At 40.1% G+C, this 25,387-nt stretch overlaps 2 long non-coding RNA genes and 1 pseudogene across 6 annotated transcripts in view; 2 read left to right on the top strand and 1 right to left on the bottom strand.

Annotated features, from left to right (window-relative positions):
* The window catches only part of LOC105372666 (uncharacterized), a 483,513-nt gene that overhangs the window by 74,560 nt on the left and 383,566 nt on the right, over positions 1-25,387 (bottom strand). The gene's annotated exons all lie outside the window — the stretch shown is intronic.
* Positions 428-9,530, top strand: LOC105372665 (uncharacterized). 3 transcript variants are annotated; one of them, XR_936854.3, is made up of 4 exons: positions 2,713-2,856; positions 4,798-4,881; positions 7,811-7,886; positions 9,120-9,530. It is a non-coding gene; the product is annotated as an uncharacterized LOC105372665 (long non-coding RNA). The 3 variants fall into 3 exon arrangements; XR_936857.3 differs by lacking the exons at positions 2,713-2,856; positions 4,798-4,881 and adding an exon at positions 428-584; XR_936856.3 differs by lacking the exon at positions 4,798-4,881.
* TRI-AAT12-1 (tRNA-Ile (anticodon AAT) 12-1) lies at positions 17,720-17,797 on the top strand (annotated as a pseudogene).

The raw sequence follows: 25,387 nt of genomic DNA, 5'->3' as shown, positions 1-25,387 counted from the left end.
GCCTCCAGATCTTTCCACCTCAAACCATAATCTGCCATCTTTCTCCCATTCTAAATTCACTAATAATGTTCCAGAAGTGAGGCACATATTTTCTGTGAAAGAGGATAGGTGCATACATCTGCACATAGGCATTTGCACATGGCTGTAAATGAATGGCTCATAGTTAAGGAAGAAGCAAGTATCAGTTCCTGCTATGTACGGTCAGCCTGTGTTTTCTCTTTCTTTCTCTAAGCATGAAAATGCTGCATTTTGTATTTTTCCCTCACTGTGATCGTTCTGTTTTTGTGACTGTGTATTAGTTACCCTGGCAACGTGGTAGACTTGAATTTGATTGGTCAGGTTGTCAGGTTCATTGTGAGAGCCAGGGGCCCATTTTTGAACGCTAGACCTGTGCATGTTTACCGCAGCTACACAGACAGGCTTGGTCAGGAAAACCTGATTGAGCAGAACTTCTGCATCTCCTCTGTCTGCCAGAGGGACCCTTCCAGCACCTGCTGTGTGAATGTCCCTTGCATTGCTTTTGAAAAGATGCAAGAGCTCATCTATATCTTTGAAATGTCTGTCAGAAAATGTGCTTAGCATTGGTATGTTCAGACCATGGTGCAGAATATATTTATTTGTAATGAGAAATTAATTTTCCAAGAAGCTTAGAGAGAATGGTCTAATTGCTGGACCATGGGATTAGAACCTGTTACACAGATTTAATTCAGACTTGCTGTGCAATCTCAAGTAAGTCACAAACTCAGCCAAATGCTTCGTTTTCTGTAAATCAATTCCATTCATAAAGAAAGAGCCTCATCTTAAGAATGAGGTTCTAAGAGCACTGAAGATTTAAACTGGGATAGTTGTAGTCTCATTCTTCCAACAATATTGAATCATTTATTTAATCAATTTATCAGATACCTTGTTTACTGATTAAAGTCTGGTTCTATTCATTTACCAATTACCTAGGAAAAAAACAAACTCCCATCTATGGCTGAAAATCTTTATTAGCCAATGAATAAATAAATCCAAAAAAGAGTAAAGTTAGATACAGACCAATGCCTAAAAAAGTTAATAACTGTGTTTTTCTTATTTGCACAAATTCCTAAGTAGCCATACCTGGCTCACTTCTTGCAATCCTTTTGTTTTTAAAGAAAGCATATCATCGATGCCTGGATCTATCACACTCTCTGTATTTGAACATGTTATATCTAACTGTGCTATATAACCAGCATAGTCTTAATATAGATGTAAAAGTCATTGGCAAGCAGTCATTTTTCACCTTGGTTAAGTGTTACAGTATGTTCAGCTCCAGTAAAGCTAACATTTAGGCTGTCCAATTCAAAGAAGAAGAAGAAAAAAAGTCTGAAGGGAAAAGAGACAAGAAGCACATTCCAAATATCCTTCCAAAAAAGGCGATTGCACAGTAATAATTAATTCCTCTGCTAAAGTTACTAGGAAAAAACGTGAACCATCTAAAACTCAGACCGCCCCCAATCCCCCCACTCAGGAAAAAAAATGCCTGGTCAATTGTGCACAGGGCGACAAGAGAATCAGAGCATAATAGGAAACTAACTCCTTCGTGGTTGAGCCGATAAACCAAATAATACTAGCTTTTGAACATCACATGCTTTCTAAAATACCTGGTGTGGTTGGACTTTGTTAGTGAAACTTGTTTGCAAGACTATCAGCAGTGCATTCAGATTAAGCGTTGTTTCTAAATCTGCTAATTTGCTTGCACATGCCACAATGAAATAGCCTTAGATTTGTGTAAGGAGTGTTAATTTGTTAAATACACCACAATTTTTAAAAATCTTTTTTTTTAGTCCGTCTTCATTGTCTAACACATCGGGAATCCCCCAAAATGGAAGTGGTAAGACTCTTGACCCTTGAGAGGCCTGCTTGCTCTCAGATTTCTGTGCAAGGAAGGTTCTTATGGAAATAACCCTCTTTTTTTTTTTTTTCTTGAGACGGAGTCTCACTCTGTCGCCCAGGCTGGAGTGCAGTGGCGTGATCTCAGCTCACTGCAAGCTCCGCCTCCTGGGTTCACGCCATTCTCCTGCCTCAGCCTCCCAAGTAGCTAGGACTACAGGCTCCTGCCACCACACCCGGCTAATTTTTTTGTATTTTTAGTAGAGATGGGGTTTCACCGTGTTAGCCACAATGGTCTCAATCTCCTGACCTCGTGATCCACCCGCCTCGGCCTTCCAAAGTGTGGGGATTACAGGCGTGAGCCCCCACGCCTGGCCCTGGAAATAACCTTCTTTTGACCAGAAGGCACTTGGTAAGAGGCTTCCTTGGTGAGTCCTGGCTTGGGGCTGCTTCTTCCTGCTGGTCTTGTGCCCTACTTGCTTGGAAGCCCCCCTCCCCGGCCTCTCCCTTCCTAGAACTCCGAGCCACAGACAAGTGCCCAGAACATTACCCTGAGATTTTCAAAGAAGACAGAGAAGAATAGGAAAATGAAAAAACGCAAATGTAAGTCTGTGGGGATGGAATTAATTAAAAGGAAAAAATAATACGAAGGCCAAGGAGGGGAGAGAGGGTGAGAAACAACAAAAACTCATTTACAGCCAACAGAGATCATCTGAGGGAAAACAAAGAATGGAACCCAAATGAAAGATTCCTGTGCAAGTCTAGGGAGAAGACTTGGGGATGTGCAGGGAGAGAAAAGGACGCAGTGATTAATAAAACAGAGGGGAAAATGAAAATGCAACACAAAGCCCTCGGGTTCTACATACAAGCCAAGGTACATATGCCAATAAAAGCAGGGAAATGGGGAACAAAGGATGTCATAGCAACCTCAAGGAGCCCTGTTGTGCTACCGACTGCAGAGCTCATGGACATCCATCAGGAAGCCTCCAATACCCAAACCAGGTACTCAAGAGGGGAGGGCTGTGGCCCCCAGCCAGGGAGATCTGAGCCCCTGCAAGACACTCTTGTCTCACTTTCTTCCTTTCTCCCTCCCAAAAAAATCCAAACCAGTTCTGCGCCAAGCCTCTCCCTTCTTTTTCCAGCAGCTGTTTTTCTGAAATGCAGGAAAACAAACCTGGACCAAGCATCCTGATGCTTTCACACCCCCCAAATTATGCTTCCCAAGTTGTTTCAACCCTGAGTAATGTGGTAGCATTCCCTTGTGCTCTCAAAAAACTCCCGGCTCCTTTAAAACAAAGACAATGATAATCACAAAAGAAAAACGCATAAATGTGTTTTGCTTGCTGTTGCAAAATCAGGCATCCCACCGTTCTAATTCATTTGGGGATGTGGACATCCAATGGGATATATAGCTCATTTGCCTGTGCCTAATTCAAAGAGAAATGCTCATTTCCTTCCACCTCTATCTTCTACTTAAATTATAGGTCTCTTCTTTATTAATAGACCATCACTTCTTTCTACTTTCTTGTGGTTTGAGTGGGGGAAATACTGTGACATTTGGAACAAAACAGGAAAGATGAATGTTTCACCATCAAGACTTGGAACGCAGTGGAAAATAAAAGAGAACTTTTACAGGAACCTAATGGAGATATTGACATGTGTGTCTGGAAATCTAAACTTAGTAAAGTGTAAGGCAAGAACAGGCTTTCTCACTTTATTTCTGTATCTGGAAAGTTTCAGCGGCTGGTACCATATGAATATTTATTAATTCATTGTGAATCAGAACCTGCGATTATTACTCAAACTATCTTTTTACCTTGCAAGCTTCAACTCAGAAGAATAAAAACACATCTGCTTTTGCTCTTCCCATATTTTATTCAATGTTTTAACAGCTTTGCTGTAAATATCTCATCCATTACGATTTAGTTGTGACTATATCTGCTTCACGTCTCCTGTTTTATTACTGTCATCACAATGAAACAACACACTGTTAATTCTGTTAACTAACAAGTTCATTGTTCGAGCTAGTAAGCTATCTCTCGTTTGTTGGGTCCACATGTTAAAAGAGAATTGGTTATAAATCAAAGAAGGGCCTGAGTGGGGCGTGTTCCCTTTGTTCAGATGAGTGGTCTTTATTTGAGATTGTCATTTAATATGCTGTCATGGAAGAAATGACTAAATCTGAAGATAGGGCCAAATCCAATTGTATTAGATGAAGAGGCTGCACAACCCTCCAAGAATTCAGCTCTAAAATATGCAAGTGGACATAGAGCTTCAGATTCTCTGCATGAAACCTGTACTTCCTTTATAGCTCCCATTCAATTTAGACCTTGTAAACCTATCTTCTAGATCTTTCCAGAGGAAACTTGCTAATATTTTTCACTCTCAGTGTGAAAACTGAGTCAGTCAGTGTGGTCTGATGGTTAAGAATGTGGGCTTTCAAATTCAGCATCCTGGTTTGCTTTCCACTCTGCCATTTCGGAGTTGTATGGACTTGAATGATTTAGTTAGCATCCTGATCTGTAAAATGGGACAGCAACAATACCTGCCATGTTAGGTAGTTGTGACAATTAAATGAGAAAATGTCTATAAACTTCTGTATCAGTCAGGACGCAGTATAGGAAATCAGAATCATTCCAGATATTTCAACCATATAATCGGTTATTCAGGTGTTAGGTGTGTACCAGTTACCTATTACCATGATAATGTTGAAAAACACTTGCCTGAACACCACGCACACACATACAGTGGCTAAAAACAACGAGCATGTATTTAAATCACAGATCTGCAGGTCAGAGATTTGGGCTGGGCTGGGCTAGGTAGTTCTTCTTGTGATGCTAGGTTCACTCTATGCCTCACTGGCTGTTGGCTGCTACACCTGAGCCAGATGTGTAATTCTCCATCAGGATAGCCTGGTTTTGTTTTGTTTTGTTTTTTTGACAGAGACAGAGGAGCAAAAGGACCTCTCCTTGTGTGATGCTGGCTAACATCCCACTGGCCAAAACAGGTTACATGTTAGGTGCAAAGGTTGGTATAGATAGAATGCCCACTTTTATGAAATAAACACGAAAAAAGAATGAGTTCTGAGGGCATTTGAAATGGGTACCATAGATCTTGGTCTATATTGGAAAGGGAAGAGAAGGGGAGGGGAGGGGAGGGGAGGGAAGGGGAGGGGAGGGAAGGGGAGGGGAGGGGAGGGGAGGGAAGGGAAGGGAAGGGAAGGGAAGAAAGGAAGAAACCTCATTTTAAGAAGGTCATTTGAGTCTACTAATTTCAAAACACAAATGAGCCGAATTTATTAGGAACAAATTCTGGTTCATTAGAACTAGTTTTTCTACGATACATTCCTTAAGGAAAACATACCTCAGTTGTGATTCTAAATCTGTCTCCTGAGAAATCTTGGATGCCTGCTGATCATTTTGAATTCCTTGCCACCCTCAACTTTCTGGCTGCATGTAAGAAATCATTTTAAATGAATTGAATAAAATTCACAAGTGTTATATGCCAGCAAATGATGAACTCACAGGAAATATGACTCAAATCCACTTTTTTCATTTTGTTTTTTTTTTCTCATAATAAATAGAAATGAACAAATGTGGCTTTAATGACATCTTGGAGTGAGAGCTTTTATTGATATATTATCAGTTGGAAATGTGTAACACTTTGGTAAATAAACTCCATTCTGCATATTTATAACCAGATTGAAAAAGGTGTATTTGTTATTTTGTGTGACATTTTCTAATGACAGTGAAGTTTTATATATGAAGATATACACATACCATCATAAAAATGAACAATATTTCAGCTTACAAAATGTTTCTTTGATTGAAGATGTTTTTGTACTTACTTAGTTTCCAATTACTTTTTTAACTTGTGCTCACACACTTAAAAATACCTTCTCCCCCTTCCTGTAAAGCTGTAAACAGATGCTCCAAATTGTGTCAGTTGAGACAAAATTTGGAACATCTGTTTTAGGGTGACAAGTCCTTCTTTGGACAGCTGAAGTTTTGATCATCAGCTAATTACAGTTTGTATCAGGTCAAAGTCTGGGTTACAAAAAAAAATGGAAACTGGCTTAAGAAAAAAAGGGAATCCAGTGATTCACATCCACTGGCTTCAGACACAGTGTGATGAAGGTATTTAAATGATGCCCTAGAACCTGGTATCTCCCTCTCTCTCAGCTATGCTTTCTGATTTGTGTTAGCTTTCTTTTAAGACAGGTTACCTCCACAAAGTCGCAAGATGACAACAGCTATAGAACAACTTCTTTGCTTCATAGATGGCAGAAAATAGTCTCTCTCTCTCTCTCTCTCTCCACGCCCGCCACCTCCTCTCTTGCTTTCTTTTTTCCTTCCCTCCCCTCTCCTTCTACCAGTTGAAAAGTCGAGGATCAGCCTACTTACCATTGGCTCAATTGCTCACATGCACATACCTGGACAAACTTTTGTAACTAGGAGTGTATCAGTTATCTATTGCTATGTAACAAATTACACTCCCCTCCTTCTTCTGCCAAACTTAGCAGCTTAAAATAACATGCACTTATTACCTCACAGTTTCTATGGGCCAGAGATCCAAATATGGCTTCACTAGGTCCTCCAGCTCAGAGTCTTTTGTAAGCTCCAATTGTGGTGTCAACCAGGACTCCAGTCATTTCAAGGTTCACCAGGATCCTCTCCCAAACCCACTCAGTGGTTACTGGCAGGATTCAATTCACTGTGGGCTGTTGGACTGAGAGCCTCAGGTCCTCAATGGCTGTTCGGCAGAGACCATGCTCAGCTTTTTGCCATGTGGCCTCTCTGTAGGGCAGTTCACAACAAGGCAGCTGGCTTCATGAGAGCAAGCAAACAAGAGAGATGAAAGTCACAGTCTCTAATAACCTAATCCTGGAAGGGATATCCCATCATTTCTGCCATATTTTAGTCATTATTAGTGTATTATTCCATTTTCATGCTGCTGATAAAGACATACCTGAGACCAAGCAATTTACAAAAGAAAGAGGTTTAATTGGACTTACAGTTCCATGTGGCTGGGGAAGCCTCAAAATCAAGGCAGAAGGCAAGGAAGAGCAATCCACGTCTTCCATGGATGGCAGCAGGCAAAGAGAGAGAGCTTGGGCAGGGGAATTTCTCTTTTAAAAATCATCAGATCTCATGAGACTTATTCACTATCATGAGAATAACATGGGAAAGACTTGCCCCATGATTCAATTACCTCCCACCAGGTCCCTCCCACAATATGTGGGAATTCAAGATGAGAATTGGGTGGGGACACAGCAAAACCATATCAATTAGCAAGTGATAAGTCCATCCACACTCAAAAAGCAGGGATTACACAACAGCATGAATACCAGGAGGTGGGGACCCCATGGGAGCTATTTCCAAAGCTGCTTACTACCATGGATAATGACATATGCTGGTTGGTTTAACCGAATCTCAGCCCACCACTAGAGCTGGGGGATAATCAACCACAACATTTTCTAAACTATGAGTGAAGGTGACCATCACAAATGGGAATTTGCATATGGTTAGAAAGTTTGCATGTGGTTTGAATATGGTTAAGCGGACGACATTTATGAGCATTACTCACAACAGACCAATGATATTTTATCATCATAAGTGTTGAGAATAATACATTAAGTCGCGTTCCTGATTTTGACACTGTTTCATGCATCACAAAGACAACATATTCAGAGACAGTAAGTTAAAACTACAGAAATGATGGTTGCATGATAAAACTGACCTTAACATACTTGAATGTAGATTTAAACAGAACAGACTCATGTCCCACTGACTCCATATTTTCTTCCGAGTGTCTGATGTTGAGATTTCTGAACATTTCAGACCTAAAACACTATTTTTCAGAACTTGAAAATAATAAGTGTTTATTTTCATTTGTGGGGAGGAGAAAGGAAAAAGAGTATTTCAAGCAACTGACTGCAGTCATTTTTCTATTCTAGGGGTAGTTGCCTAATCCATATCCATGTGGATAGCTCTTTACTTAGGAAACCTTGATGGCTTATTTGGATGACAAAGGTGAGTTCAGAGACTGATGTTGCAAAGATAGTTTAATGGGTCTGTATAAGAAAGAAGGAGATGGGCACCATGGCTCATTTCTGTAATCTCAGCATTTTGGGAGGCTGAGACAGGAGGGCTGCTTGAGCCCAGGAATTCAAGAGCAGCCTGGGCAACATAGGGGGACCCCCACCTCTACAAAAAAAAAAAGAAAAATTAGCCAGGTGTAGTGTTGTGCACCTGTAGTCCCAGCTACCCAGGAAGCTGAGTCAGGTGGAGCCCTTGAGCCTGGGAGGTTGAGGCTGCAATGAGCAGCGATCCCACCACTGCACTGCAGCCTGGGAGACAGAGTGAGACACTGTCTCAAAAAAGAAAGAAAAGAGAAGAGAAGCAAAGAAAAAAGTAAGAGGGAAAGAAAAAGAAGAGAGAAAGAAGGAAAGAGAGAGAAGGGAAGAGAAATAGAGGAATAAAGGGAGGGAGGGAGGGAAGAAGGAAAGAAGGAAGGAAGGAAGGAAAGAAGGAAGGAGGGAGGTAGGAAAGGAAAGAAGGAGGACGAGGAAGGAAGGAAGGAAGGGAGGAAGGAAGGAAAGAAGGAGGGAAAGGAAGGAAGGAAGGGAGGAAGGAAGGAAAGAAGGAGGGCAAGGAAGGAAGGAAGATGGAAGGAAGGAAAGAAGGAAGGGAGGGAGGGAAGGAGGGAAGGATGGAGGAGGATGAGGAAGGAAGGAAGGGAGGAAGGAAGGAAAGAAGGAAGGAGAGGAAGGAAGGATGGAAGGAAGAAAGATGGAAGGAAGGAAGGAAGACAAGGAAGGAAGGAGAGGAAGGAAGGAAAGAGAGGAAGGAAGGGTGGAAGGAAGAAGGAAGGAAGGAGAGGAAGGAAGGGTGGAAGGAAGAAGGAAGGAAGGAGAGGAAGGAAAGATGGAAGAAAGAAAGATGGAAGGAAGGGAGGGAGGAAGGAAGGAAGGAAGATGAGGAAGGAAGGAAGGAAAAGAAGGAAGTTTTCAGATTCTCAACATGGAGGGAGAAAAAGAACCCTTAGATTGAATGAGGGCCCAGAGAATACTATTACAGTTGAGCTTTAAAAGAAAAGGTAATCCCAGAATGCTGAATTTAGGGACCCCTGACATTGGAATTAAATGGCAGTGACCAATTCTGTCTATTACCTGTTTAATAACCATTCTCTTTTATCTCATATATAATAAACATGACTTTATTTTCAGAGTATAAAAACATTCAATGAAATATTTCCTTTCAAAGGTTCCCTTTTGGCGATACATAGCCATGCGAGACAACATAGCCATGAAACAAACCAAGTCCACCAGTGGCTTCCTAGGAACACATTTGCTTTCCTGATAAAAGAGGACAGATGCAGTTGCAGAAGTACCTGTGCCTCTTTTTCTTTTTCTTCTTCTTTTTCTTTTTTAATCTCTTAAATGCAGATATAAGAACTGGTACTGAAGCAGCCATCTTGTGACCATAAGGAAGAAGCCAAGAACATCAGAACCAGTGGCCTAGCCATTGCACAGTCATCTAAACACACCTCTGGACTTGTTATTATGTAAAAAAAAATAAACACCTGCTCTTGTTATTTGCAATTCAACATAATCGTAACTTACATAATATTTATCAAATTGATACAAATAAGAAATAAATTACTTGGGAATAAAATTTCCAGTAGTTTGTCAAGCATCTCCAATCTTCTGATTTCTTTATTTCCCATTGCATTTTTCCCCAATAAATATTCATCTTCAATACTCAAGAGTCTTCGTTATGTCAGAGGGAAGTTGCTCTGAAGCTAAAATCACAATAGAAAAATATATCCAGAGGTATAGGCCTGTATCCCCCAGCAGTTTCTTTCTTTGGTTATGTCATCTATTGTCAGGGCATATCAACAAAACACAACGAATGGTCGGATGTGGCTGTCCTTGGTCATGATCTCTTTCATTCTTGAATACCTACTCATCACTTACAGTTCTGCCTCAGTTTACTGTGCAGAAGCCACCTGTCATGTAACATCCAAATCTGGTCATTTAGGACTTAACTTCCCTCCATCTCTTCATACTGAGATGTAGTGATGGGAGATTTCCATTTCTTCTTTCAAATGTTGTTTATACACACATTTCAGGCATAAACTTTGTGGGAAACAAAAATGAATGAGGAATCAAGTTGCTCTCAACAGCGTCTTGTAGACATAAACTTTCATGAAAAAAAAAAAAAAAAGAAAACCTCAAAGGTCTTGTAGAAGAGGTAAGTCATCCACCCAACCACCTAAAATATAAAATGAAAAAGTAGCAACGGCCATACCGGAGGCAGAAATTAAGGCGATGGGCATTTATAAGGGAAAAAGTAGTATTTCTGCAGTATGAGAGAGAAGATCACATTTTAAATGGACCTTTAGAGAGGGGAACAATTAAATGGGTGAAGTCAGGGTGGGAGGAGCTAATGAATGGCTAATGAATGGAGAGAGCATTGCAGAGGCTGTAGGGGGCCAGCAAAGGTGGTGGAGCAGAGCAATGGTCATCTGCATGTAAGCTTCCAGAGTAATTTTAGAAAGAAAACTTTTTAAAATTTATAGTTGCTACTGTCCAGTGTGAAGATCAAACAAGATGCAAAACCACGAAACACCACACCTTTTGTAGATACTAAACTTCTCACTATGCAATGGTTCAGGGAAGAACCCACCTTTTGAAAAGGTGGAATAGAATAGCTTGAACCGAAGCACTTTTTAATGCTCCACGAACTCAGCACAGTTCATTATTACGGAAGTATTTCCCACACATCCATATACCAGTTTGTTGAGACATCTTAAATTCCTTTGAAAAAAAATGTGGACTATAAATCAAAATATAACACAGCAAATAAACTATGGTTCTTTTGTCTTTAAAAACCATTTGCTAATCACATTTAGTGAAAATCAAACTCTACTGCTCACAGAGGATGTGATTGCTGTCTCTCTAAAGGGGTGGTAGCTACACAGGTCCAGCTTCTTGCTGACATATGGAAACACCTGGTGTCAACAGATCTCCTGGTTTTTTTTCAAGGAAAATAGGAAATTCAGATTTGTATGTAAACTGTGCTAACTATGGGCTCCATTAATATATATATGTATATATAAACAAATATGCTGGCCAGGCCAAATTTGTCTGCAGGCTAGATTTATTCGATACATTGGCTGAGACTTTGGACCTAATGGCTGTACTTCTGAAATTGACCCTATGAAAAGAATGCAAAATAGCAAAGGAAAAACCGTAAACAAGTGAAAACCTGTAACAACTCAGTTTAATTCACTTAAAAAGTTAAATAAGCTATTATGTATCCACTCAATGGATTATTACGCAGATGAATTAATAAAACCTATATATTAACATCAAAAAATATATAAAAGAAAATAGCAAAACTATGAAGATAGTAAAAAGATCAGTGGTTACCAGTGGTTACTCAGTGAGACAGAGATTAATAAATTCAAAGACACAGAGGATTATTAGGGCAGTATGATTCTATGTGACATGATAATGGTGGATACACGTTATGATACATTTGTTAGAAGCCCATAGAATGTACGTCACTAAGAGTAAACCCTAAAGTAAACTATGGACTTTGGGTGATGATGTGCCAATGTAGGTTCATTGACTGTAACAAATGTATCACTCTGGTGCATGATGTTGCTGGTAGGGGAGTCTGTGCTTATGTGGGGATATGAGGTATAATGGGAGCTCTCTGTACTTACCACTCAATTTTGCTGTGAACTTAAAACTCCTCTAAAAAGTAAAGTCTGTTTTTAAAAAGGGAACAAAATTCTTTAAGCAGCATGATCACAAGTATGTAAAACCAACAGATGTAAAATTATACCAATCAAAATGACTATTGGAAAGATATACATTTTTATACTCACAAGTGCTTTTGGGATGGGGTTATATGTAATTTTTTTCTCTTGCTCTATTTTCCAAGTGTTCTTCAATGAGAAAATTATATCACTGTCCTCACTTTGCAGAGTAGTGTGGGACCATAAAAACGACTGTGCAGGCTACAACTGTGCAAAAACATCTGATTATTAATAATCAGTGGTAAAAATTGCAGTTGTTCTGTGACCTTTAAAAATGGTTGTCAAAACATTAAAAAGTCACTTATTCTCACTTATAAGTAGGGAAATATAAAAATAGTAAAACTAATACTTTAGTACACTACAATTTTAAAAATTAGAAACATTGAAAATTGAAGTTTTTTTCTTTATTAAAAACTTATCAAGAGTTGTTCGAACATTGTAGAACTTATGAGACAAAGCAAGCATCTTCTCCACACCTTCGTGAATCGTTATACTTAATTCTAACTTTAAATCAGTTTCCAAACCTTGAGTGTAAATCTTTCAATGTTGTCAGTTATCTCTGAGAATCCCTTTAATGTGCAGTTTTTGCCAGCATCCTTTCCTCTGGGACATCTTCATCCTTTTCGTCACAACCACTTTCCTTACTTATTTTGATAAGCTCGCTTCCTTGAAGTTCCTCCAGCTGCATGGTAGAGCCTCCAACCACAGCAGCATCAATATTCCTACGATCAGCTATTTCTTCAATAACTCCATTTAGGTTCAATGCAAGTTTCACTTCCAGCACTACCACTTTTTGTTTCTTTAATGCACTTTTATCTTTGTTGCTAATCCTATCTTAGGATTACTAACTTTTTTTAAATTTTTTTGTTTTTTGTTTTTTTGTTTTGTTTTGTTTTGTTTTTGAGACAGAGTCTTACTCTGTTGCCAGGCTGGAGTGCAGTGGCTCAATCTCCGCTCACTGCAACCTCCACCTCCCGAGTTCAAGCAATTCTCCTGCCTCAGCCTCCTGAGTAGCTGGGACTACAGGCATGTGCCACCACCATGCCCAGCTAATTTTTGTATTTTTAGTAGAGACGGGGTTTCACCATGTTGGCCAGGATGGTCTCAATCTCTTGACCTTGTGATCCGCCCACCTCAGCCTCCCAAAGTGCTGGGATTACAGGCATAAGCCATGCGCCCGACCAGTATTACTCACTTTTATAAAATGTCACATGGTTTAATCACTGGGAGACAAGGAGACGACACAACTTCATGCTTTGCTGTCTGTGTATGAACTGAGTACAGATGCGTACTGACCAGTCATTGCCTTCGAAGAAGTGACATGATCAGTCACAGATCATGATGTGCATGTGTTATTTACTTAGTGATTTATGAACTGAAGAGCTAGCAGGGAAATTTGTGCTTCATGCAATTACAGGTAATATATCAAGGTAACTAAAAATTGACCCACATTGTTGGGGAACTGGAGTTATTTAATTAAAACACAGTAACTGAAATTTGTGCCTACTGGAAGCAAGGACCTCTGGTATTTCAATATTGGAAAAATATTGGAAAAATAAACTTCATCATAAAATTTCCTCGTTTCTTTTATTGGTCATGGGCAGTCTCAAAGACTAAAGATACACTTCTGAAGAAGACATGCTGCTGGCTGAGTTCAGTTGATGTATGGCCCTGGAGACCTCATGGAACATTTCATAATGCTGTTTTGTTCTGACTCCCTGTGAATAGGTACATCTGGAGACATATATATTTATGGAAAATGCTAAATATTCTTTCTTCCCTACCTTATGTCTAAGTAGGTCATGTTAGCAATATTTTGAGTAGTCATTACATTGTAGCCCATGTATTTCCAAGAACATATTGAATGTAGCTGTAGGACGCCCATGGGTGGTGACAGTGAATGCCTCCTACTTCAAAGTCCCTTAAATATGATTGTTCTCTGGGAAACCACAGCATCATGTATAAAAGCAGAAAAATGCAAAGTCAACTTAGAAATAAAAAGTTAAAAGTCATCTGATGTCCTTGGTAGATGCAAAATGGATAAAATTTAATAATTTTAAATGATTTTTTACAATAATGGGGAATTAGCAACATAGCACTGGAAAGAAGAAATTTTAGTAGGAAAAGCCCCAATAACAAACATCATTTTAAGTGGTGATCTTAGTGTGTTCAGGCTGCTACAACGAACTATCATAGATTGGGTGACTGATAAACTACAAATGTTTATTTCTCACAGTTCTGGAGGCTGGGAAGTCCCAGATCAAGGTTCAGACAGATTTGGTGCCTGGTGAGGACTTGCATCTCTTTTGGAGATGATCATCTTCTCACATGTCCTCACATGGTGAAACGGGAAAGGAAGCTCTGGATTTTTTTTTTCTTTTTAGATGGAGTCTCCTCTGTTACCCCAAGCTGAAGTGCAGTGGTGCAACTTCAGCTCACTGCAGCCTCCACCTCCCGGGTTCAAGCAATTCTCCCACCTCAGCCTCTCTAGTAGCTGCGACCACAGGCACACACCACCACAAGTGGCTAATTTTTTTTTTTTTTTTTGGTAGAAATGGGGCTTCACCCTGTTAGCCAGGCTGGTCTCAAACTGCTGGGCTCAAGTGATCTGCCCACCTCAGCCTCCCAAAGTACTGGGATTACAGGCATGAGCCACCATGCCCAGCCTGGATCTCTTTTTTAAAGGCACTGTTCTCATTCAGGAAAGCTCTGCTCTCATGACCTAATCACCTACCAAGTCTCCACCTCCTAATACCATCACCTTGGGGGTTAGGATTTCAACATAGGAACTTTGGAGAGACATAAATATTCAGTTTGTAGCAATTGTGAAAATTTAGAAGATTTGCTGTCAAAGCTAACAATAAAACAAGCATGCACATCACTGTTACTTTACAACACTGTTCTGAAGGTCCCAGCCAATACATCAAAAAAAGAAAAGCTAATTAGAGGGCTAAGGATTTGAAAGGAAATAGATATATCATCATTTGCAGCTGAAAAGATTATCAATAAGGAAAATAGAGTCAACAAATGACTGCAACCAAAGGGAATGTTTACCAAAGTTGATACACATAAGATGGGTGTTAAAAAAATGTCCTAGATGCTAGATGTAATCAATTACGATATGTAAAGAAGCATCAATGTGATTCCTAAACCATCAAAGCTGGAGGTAACCAGATTGAAGGTATTAACACAGATAAGCAAATACGTAAATTTGTAGGGGACTAGGTGAGCCACGAATTCAGGGACAGTGAGAATCACAGAGGAAAATATCAGCAACACCCAGGCAAAGAGTCCTGTGACATGGATAGGTCAATACTGTGAAACCGTTAGTACCTGAAGCCATTATATTTCCTAATCTTATATAAATAGATCACCTAAGGTCACCCCATTTCTTAAGATTTTTATTAAATTTGCTTTGTGCCCTTTAACAGTCCTTGGAAATTCAAGGTTGCCAAATGATTTATCAAGTTTAATCAAGGATGGTCCATAGTCTGGTCAGAATTTTTGAGCCCACCTTTGCAGAAAGGCAGCCTAATCCAGGGCACAAAACTTCTCCTTTCCTGAAAGTCAAGAGCAAGCTGTTCATGGATTCCCAGTGTATTTCTGGTTGCAAATCTTTCTGAGATAATTTGACTGTTTGAACCACATCCCCCTTCCCAGAAAAAAAAAAAAATGCACATTGATGGAAATACTGCATTTATTTCCAGGGGGCTCAAAGACCTCCGGAATCCTATCCAAGAGACCTCAGTTAGAGGATCCTCGCTCTGCAGTATATGGCACATCTGTTTCTAGATGTATCAGTGCTCATCACAGCAGTTCAAAATAAAGAAGCCCTTCCCATTTGGCTGCCTGGGATTGGATCTCAGCTTAGTCCTTAATCAGCTGTGTGACCTTAGTTACATAATTTAACTTATTTGGGCCACAGTTTTATCATTTGCAAGGGGGATCATAATAGTTCCTACCTTATAGGGTAATCATGAGGATCAAATAAGGCAAAGAAGGGAAAACTGTTGGCACGGTGCCTGCTACATGACAAATGCCAAATACATTTGAGTTATTATTGTTTTATTATTAACTATCCTTATGCTTGCATTGTGTCTTAGTTCTATTTTAGCTTTTTAAGATAAATACACTTTCTAATCTATACCAGAGTTTTTCAACCTTAGCATTATTGGCATTTGAATATTCCTTTGTTGTGGGGCTGTACTGGGCTTTGGAGTATTGTTCCGCAGCATCCCTGGTCTCTCCCCACCAGAAGACAGAAGGACCCCCACCAGTTGTGACAACTATAAATGTCTCTTAGTGGGCAAAATCACCCCTCCCTGACTGAGAATCAGTGTTCTACACTGATCATATGGATGTTTTGGGAGATTTTTATGGCAGAGAGAAAAGTAATCATAATATTTAAAATATTAGCATTGCCGATGAAAGCTCCTTGAGGCCAAGAATGTTTACTCAACACGGAGAATGAAGGGCTCAGAGTGAGGAAGAGAAAGTGATCAGGAGTGCAGATGGAGAATCGCAAGGCTCAGGACACATATAAAGGTGATAGATGTGCAACACAGGGGTTGTGAAGGATACAGAGGGAAAAAGACATTTTGGCAGTGGAAGAAATAAATGGGAAACTCAGCGCGGGGAAATGACTTAGCCTACAGAATACATCACATGAGTAACACCTGGGAAGGGTCAACAGAGGTTGAATACGAAAAACAGGGAGAGGAAATGAGGGGAATGGTTCTGTGATTCCATGTGAGGTCAACACCGCTGATTCGGGGTAAGACTGCCGAAGAGAACGATTTGATGCGGAATTAAAGGGTAGAGCCAGGGGATAAGAAAGAGAGGCTTAGAAACCTTGGATTCAGATCAAGGCTGAGGTTAGGCTGAAACCAGAGTATCAACCTTTTAAGAGACTCACACAGTATACTCATTCCTGCAACAAATAAAATTGATACCCGATGTGTATTTAGTCGATATACTACAGTAAATTTGTTTTACATTCTGAGTAAATAGGCTTGTTGGGGCAGGCTTATAAAACACACACACACACACACACACACACACACACACACACACACACACACAGAGACAGAGACAGACAGAGAGAGAGAGAGAGAGAGAGAGAGAGAGAGAGAGAGAGAGAGAGAGAGACTCAGAGAAGTTAAAAAAGGCAGCCCTGGTCATAAAGTGCATGGTATGCAGATGAGACACATGACCTTCCCCTGAGCACTTTTGAACACTTCCCATATGTCTGGTTAAATTACTCACCGGTCTTATCTCACTTCATCTCACAAAATCTTCTGGGGTAGTAACGGTAACGATCCCCATTTTACAGATGAGAAAACCAAGGGTTTGAGAGGTTACATGCTTGCCCCAAGGCTGCACAGCTACAGAGTGAGGACTTAAAACCCAGTGGTCAGTCTTGAAGACTTGCTCTCTTGGATCCTCTGCTGCCTTCTCTCGAGGCTTCCCCTGCCTGGGAGGGTTGGAGTGCTGAATTCACCTCATCTCAGTGTGCTCAAGCCAGGACGAAACAGACTAAAAACTCTTGAGTAATGTGGCTCTCCTCTGCCTTGCATTTATTTTTATTGCATAAATATAACCACTTTGCAACTGAATGGTGCCTTAGCATGTTAGTTGTATCACTGAAGGTGACAGAAGGTGGAAAGAGAGGGGGTATAATCTAAGTGAGGGAGAAGTGTTGTGATTTTCTGCATCATCAGTTTACCTCGAAATGATTTAAACCAAACTATAAAAGAATATGTATTGAATAACTACTTTGTGCTGCATTATATGCTAGGTATTCCCACGTAAATTATTTTACTTACGCCGACATTTAAAAAAAAATCTTCCAAAATTGGCCTCATTATCCTCATTGTTCAAAGAGAAAACCAAGGAGAGGGAGCTGATACTCAAACCAAGCTAGATCTGACCCCAAATCTAAGGATTTTTTTTATCAGACCGAAACAAACATGTTAAAACCAAGGATCCTGTGTTCTGACATCTTTTCCTTCTCTCCAAAATTTTTGCCATGTGTGACCAATTAGCAAGCACAGTTGGCTAGAACATGGTGCTAATAAGGCCACGGTCAGGGGTTCAATTCCCTTATGGGCTGAAACTTGATACTTCCTTCCTACAGACACAGACCATCTAGACCACATCTGGGCCCCTCCCAAGAGCATCATATTGGTCATAAGTGCAGTTGAGAAAGTCTTGCTAAATCACAGTAACTCCATCTGCACTATTGGAACAATTCAAACATATGCCATACTGATGGTGTGACTATAGGCATAAATAAAAAACAACATTGTTATTAGTTAAATAAATTAGTAATTTTTTGCACTCCAGCCTGGGCAACAGAGCGAGACTCCATCTCAAAAAAATAAATAAATAAATTAGTAATTTTTGCTGACATTGTAAATTTTAAGTGTATTCTTTGTGGCCCAATAGAGCCATGACTTTATTTTTAAAAGCTCATGCATGTAGAGATACTAAAATTTCAAGATGTTGAATGACATGTGCAATAATACCTCAATTACTGAAACTCATCGGAAATGAGTTATTTTGTATATGCAAGTTATGTTCAGATAATGGAAGTGTCTGCTTAGCACCAAGGCATGTCCACATTAGAAATTTTGATGAAAATATTTCTAAATAAAATTCACATTATTACACCTCTCAAATAGGAGAAATGAAACATAATTTACCTTAGATATTTGTTATTCTGTTATTTACCAAAAAACACAATTTTAACAAACTAATTTTTTGCAAAAATTGGGAAATAAAGATATGGGCAAAGATATACAACACAGGAAATCAATGTTAACATCAAACAAGATAGAATTTAGAATTAAATAAAAGAATAAGGAGGAATATAATGTAATAGTAAAAGACATATTTTCCAAAGAAGACACTATAATCATAAACCTACCTGCACCAAATAATATAACATCATCATTGAACTGCAACTATTTTGGACTTCTTGATATTCCTTAAATAAGCCAAAATAGTTCCAGACTCAGGGCCTTTGTGGCTACAGTCTCCTCTGCCTGAAACTCACTTCCTCTAAGTTTGCTTTCTCATCTTATTTGGTTCTCCACCCAAACATCACTTCCCCAACCCCACTCACCGTAATGAAGACTGAACATTCTATCTGATTTGTCACCTATGATCCTAAAATTTGGAATTGTTCAATAACTGACTCTCTATATGCAGGAGATCTTATTGATATGGGAGACATTAAAGATACCCAGGGCCCTGAATCCACCTACCCTAAATTTTATTAGGTTCTCAAGTAGTGATTACCAGCATCAGAATTCTCTAAGCAAATGTACTCTTTATTCAAGAGTTTAGACCCAAAACCCCATAGGAAGATAAGTCCACAGCTTCTCTCAATCCCTTTCCTCAATAGCCAATCCTAATCTAGACCATTAATTTCTTACCATCGCAAGAGTGAGAAGAATCACAGAGAAATACATGCAATGAAAAAGATACGAATTCTTTCTGTATTTGTCGCCCGTGGCTGCTGTAACAATTTCCCACACACTTCGTGTCTTAAACTGAAATAAATTTATTCTCCCATAGTTCTGGAGGAAAAGGCTGACCTGAAGGTGTTGGCAGGGTCACACTCCCTCCAGAGGTCTCAAGTAAGCATATATTCCCTACCTGCTGCAGTTCCAGAGTTTGTGACCAGATAACAAATCTCTGCCTCCATCTTCACATTGCCTTCTCGTGTGTGTGTGTGTGTGTGTGTGTGTGTGTGTGTGTGAAATTCCCTCTATCACTCTCTCATAAAGACACTTGCGATGGCATTTAGGGCACACCTGGGTAATCCAGGGTTATCTCCCCATCTCATGATTCTTAATCACATCTGCAAAGACTCTTTTTCCAAATAAGATAACATCTATGGGTCCCATATATTAGGATCTGGTATCTTTGGGTCAACCTCCTTAGTCTTCTCAGGCAGCCATAAAAAAAAATAACCATCACTGTGAAGGTTACACAACAGAAATGTATTTTCTGAAGGCTGGAAAGCTGAAGATCAAGGCTCCAAAAGAAGTCTGTTTCGGGTGAGGGTTCCCTTCCAGATGGTCACCTTCTTGCTCTGTCTTCACAGGGTAGAGAGAGAGAGAGAGAGGGATCTTTGGTGTCTCTATCTCTGTCCCCAGGCTGGAGTGCAGTGGCGTGATCTCGACTCACTGCAAGCTCCGCCTCCCGGGTTCACGCCATTCTCCTGCCTCAGTCTCCCGAGTAGCTGGGACTACAGGCGCCCGCCACCACACCCGGCTAATTTTTTTTGTATTTTTAGTAGAGATGGGGTTTCACTGTGTTAGCCAGGATGGTCTCGATCTCCTGACTTCGTGATCTGCCCACCTCGGCCTCCCAAAGTACTGGGATTACAGGCGTGAGCCACCGCGCCCGGCCTCTATCTCTTCTTACATTGGCACCAGCCCTATCAGATTAGAGACCCACACTTACAACCTTTTTTAAACTTTATTATCTCCTGGATGAGGCAGGGGGAGTTTATGATAAGACTGACTTTGGACATACTGAGTTTGGAGATGTCTCTGAGGTATCCCAGAGCTGATGTCAAGGTGATTTAATATGAGTCTAACACTCAAAGGAGCTTGCAGGAAAGGTCTACTCTGGTGATCAAAGTGTGTGAGTCATCCAGAGGATACCCGTCTGCAGCTCCTGGAGCTTATACAATTTGGAACCTCTAATTAAGCACAATAACACAAGAATATAAAATTCAGTACAGAAGTGTACATGTATTTAGAGTTAAAATAAAATCTTAACAAATTGCAAGTACTAAAAACTGAAAATACCACTAGCATCACAAGATTCAAAAAAAAAAACACAACAGTTTGTATTAGTTAACTGCCTGATATAACTCCATAATAGATCTCTTTTCCACATTTTACGTCAGCTAAAATTTGATAATCTTTTCTTATGATACTTTTTGTATATTTTTCATAAGAAATAGTAAAGAAATTCAGACCTTCCTCTAACATGGTTAATTAAAATTGGTTTCATATTATTGATAATTGGTATACGTAGAACATGTAACTTCATAGACAGATGTACTTGCCTTCCCACTGCTGCCACAGGTTCATGCCCTACGATTCAGGAATTCTGGCACATTTTCTTCGGCTTATTTTTTAAAAAACAGAAAAATATGTGGTGCTTTCATAATTGTATACACTGTATTATCAACTGTATTTCAGACAGGAAAGAAATCTTTTTTTTTTACTTTTAAGTTCAGGGGTACATGTGCAGCTTTGTTATGTAGGTAAACTCATGTCACAGGGGTTTATTGTACAGATGATTTCATTACTCAGGCATTACGCCTCGTACCCATTAGTTATTTTTCCCGATCCTCTCCCTCCTCCCACTCTTCACGCTCTGGTAGGCCCCGGTGTCTGCTGTTCCCTTGCATGTGTCCATGTGTTCTCACAGGAAAGAAATTCTATTTTGCCATGGCATCAATGGGAAATCCATCCGTCACTTCAGTTTACACATTTGGTGAATGGAAAAACTTCCCGCAAACTAGCTTCTGGCTCCATATAGTTTATTTATTATTTATTTATTTATTTATTTTGAAACTGAGTCTCCCTCTGTTGCCCAGGCTGGAGTGCAGTGGCATGATCTCAGCTCACTGCAACCTCCCCCTTCTGGGTTCAAGCGATTCACCTGCACCAGCCTCCCGAGTAGCTTGGATTACAGGTGCCCACCACCACGCCCAGCTAATTTTTGTATGTAGAGATAGGGTTTCACCATATTGGCCAGGCTGGTCTCGAACTCCTGACCTCAGGTGATCCACCCACCTCAGTCTTCCCAAAGTGCTGGGATTACAGGTGTGAGCCACTGTGCCCAGCCTGGCTCCCTATATTTTTAACTTTGTGTCTCCTCCACTACCCACTTACATTGAGTGTTAAGTGCCTAGAAAACACACGTAGCCCTACAGAGCCTCTGGCCTTCACCTTTGTATCACCATCCGCTGGGAGAGATGGCAAAGTGAGCATTAAGAATATTCTGGAAGTCATTCCTACACCAGTAAAGTGAGCAGTAACTTTACTGTACGCAAAGTCACCTAAAACCCCATATGTGTGTTCCACATGAGACAAACCAAATAAATTCTAGGGCATCCCCTTAGACATGTCCAAAAGCTTCCTGTAGCCACCTACATTTGCAAATTGGGCAAAATCATATGGCCCCTCCCAGAGCTTTAGAAGGGCTGATGCCAGTGGGTGAGACCCTAATGTTTTATGAGTGTCACAGGAAATTCATCTCCCATTTTGGGTGTGTATTAGATACCTCTAAAGCAGGCTTTCTCTTTCGGCGCTATTGACATTTGGATTTGGGGTGGGATAATTCTTTGCATGAAGGACTGTCTTGTGTACTGTAGGATGTTTAGCAACATCCCTGGCCTCCACCCACTGGATGCCACCAGTACCCCACCCCCACCTCAGCCAAAGGTCTTCAGACATTGCCAGATATCCCCTGAGGACAACACCACCGCTGTTGAAAACCACTGCTCTAGAAACACAGTTCAGAGAGAGAACAACACATTTACTTAGTGAAGGTTTATCGAATGCCTACTATGTTTAAAGCCCTAAGGAAGGTCACTTTGCAAAAGGTCACAGTGCTGTTGGGAAAGCACACAATAAATACTAAATTTCGGTATAATGCAGTAGGTACCATAACAAAGCTATCCAAGACACTGTGGGAATCCAAGACACACCTCTTTCCTACTTCACAGGGCTATTGGGGGGATCAAAACGATGGAGACTGTAAAGCGTGAGATGACTGCATCTAGTCCACAAAGGTATTTCTTTATGTTGGCTCGTATAAGCTGACATGAGAAAACTGCAAGGAATACTCCAATTAGCCACAACAGTCACTATTTGCAAATGCTGGCCAAGAACGACTGAGAAAGTGTGTTAATCATGACAAGGTGGAAAATCCATCTCCTTTTCTCTTTATTCTGACAGCTATTTCCTTCTACCATAGTAGTCACACTTATATTTGAAATTCACAAATACACAGATTGACTCATTCCTAGGAAAGATGGACAATTTCATTCATAGAAGATTGGCCACAGGGGTTTATTCCAGCTAAATGGAACAGAGAAGAAAGAGGTTAAATCAGTGAGAATTTAGCTTGTGAATGGCACTGTATATAATTGGAAAAATAAAAAATAAAAATAAAAAACTACCCACCTAATTTGACACAAATCATTCCTCCAGAACTCTTGAGATAACCCTGGTATTTTTCTTACCCTATTGTGTTTTCCCCACAATCAATTATTAAACCTATTGACAACAAGATAAAAGAATTCAAGGGTATATTGAAAATCAGGGCCTATTTCATACAGGGTGCTGTCTCAAATATCAAATGTATTTGTTCACGGAAAGCCTTGGAACGGACAATGTGTTCCCTTTGCTGAGCTGTTTGCATTTCTGTAAAATTAGTAATTGGAGAGGGAATGCCACTAATTCCCATTTCTCCATTTGAAAGCTACTGCAGGGTCCTTTATCAAACTGAGCACTATGTAACTGCGCTCGGCAGAAATGAGTTAACCCATGAGTTCTCCTTCGATTGCATTTAATCACAGGAGCTCCTTAGAAGCATTTTCCTTTAATCCTTTTTCTTTATCAGCACTCTTTATTTTGCTGATCTTACCTTAATTTGGCCACTCAGAACTTCTTCTAGAGAGTACTTTGTGGCCCTCACGTGGATTAACTAATCAATTATTACAATAATTTCCACTTATATAGTGCTTGATCATTAAAAACCCATTTTGAAATAGGCGAGGGGTGGCTTAACATTGTGGTGTTAAAGCAGTGATTCCTCAAAATTTATTAGAAATATAAAGTATGCTAGGGTGCTGAACCCATGATTCCAGGCCGTTACTGTTGAGAGTAAGGTTAAATTTATTTAAATTTTTAAAAATCAGAAAAATAATAATGCAGGTATCTCATGGATATGCAAAAATCATTGAAGAGGGTGTGGAATAAGTGATAGTTCAGAGATCCTAGCTAAGAGGATGGGCTTTGGGGCTGAGACAGCCTAGACTGAGATATGTCTCTCTCACCTACCAGGGCTCATGTTATCTTTGACAAGTTACTGATCTTTAAACCACAGGTTATCATCTTTGAGTGGGGTTAATCCCACTTACAGTGTTGTAGTGAGATTAAGCCAGATCATCCATTTACAGTCAGTCCAACCTTATGCCTGATATATAAACATGCAGGACATTTCAGGATAAGGAAAAGAAGTGATTACTTTGCCATACACTATCACTGTGCACATGCACACATACACACACAGTCATGCACGCTTCATGCATAAACAAACTAAACAAAGAGGCCAACTTTATAAAATGTGGTTATTTTACTCATCAATTGACTAGTTATTAATTGGGAGAAAACTTGAGTCAATTCAGTCAAAAGAGATCCATATCATTAATTAGTTGGTTAGTTAACTGATGAGTTGTTTATGTAACTGGCTAATTAGTTACTTGGTGTAAGGCTTGTTTCTGTGAGTTCTCTGGTTCAGGATCTAAAAACTTCAACATGATTGATGTTTGGGGCCAGCTAACTCTCTGTCGTGGGCCTTCCCTGAGCACTGTAGGATGCTTAGCAGCAACGCTGACCTCAACCCACTAGTGCCAGTAGCACCCTCCTTCCCTAGTTTTGATGACCAAAAATGTGTCCAGACATTGCCATGTGTCCTCTGGGTTGAGAATCACTGCTTGGGTCCAACATGCTAAACATTTAGATTAACAGTCATATAATTTTCTCCCATCTGCTATTTATTTTTAATCTCGTTTTGCTCCAAGCCTGAACTTCATGACCAAACTGAGGATGAAATTTTGAGCCTGGCTAATAATTTTTTTAAAATAGAATTGCCAGTTGTTCCTCATTATAATTGTTATTTTAAAATTACTACCTCAATTTCAAAATATTTGGCCTGGGAGGGGTCCCAATTGGGCTGAAAATTGAAAAATTATAAATTAGTCTCTGCCATCAAATCTCTTATGCTTTAGTTTGGGAAATGATACATAAAACTGAAAAATTTTAAACGGGGGGTGATCAGTGGAGAATTAATTCTCCAGAATTCTGCATGTCTGTGTGAAGGAGGTTGTAGTGAATTCTAGCAGTGTCTACAAAAACATTCATAGTAGAAACTAGCCCACACCAGTTTAGGGTGCGCACGTAGTCAGGGGTAGGGTTTCCAGGGTTTAAAGAGTGTTAGGCCGGGGACAGAGTGGAAAACAGAGCAGCAGGATGGTGAGGGTAATGGGAGGTTCAGGGTGAGAGATAGCGACGTTTTAGGGAAAATGACTTTTAGGAATCTTTGGGTATGGCACACCGTGTCATTTTGGCTGCTAGATTAGCTCCCTCGGGGAAATCTGCAGTAAGGATTTTCATAATCCCTCATGGTTTGTAGTCACATTTATGCTCTGTTTTGTTTTGACTTAATCTGTGGATAGTGATCAGGGCTGCAGGACCTCCCTGTTATATCGAGGTTACAGCAGAATCTAGAATTCTAAGATCCGTAACAGTGGAAACCTGTAGTGGATTTACCACGAAGCTAATGAAGCTTATGTTTCAGAACCCCTCACTTGCAAGACCTCCTCCCTGGCCCTGAATCTAACTGTGTGTATGTAATTTAATGTTCTTTTCCTAAAGAGGACCCC

This window comes from Homo sapiens, chromosome 20 (assembly GCF_000001405.40).
Source record: "Homo sapiens chromosome 20, GRCh38.p14 Primary Assembly".
NCBI classification, from domain to species: domain Eukaryota; kingdom Metazoa; phylum Chordata; class Mammalia; order Primates; family Hominidae; genus Homo; species Homo sapiens.
Note: the sequence above shows the minus strand (reverse complement) of the source record. Positions and strands in the feature narration are given on the sequence as shown.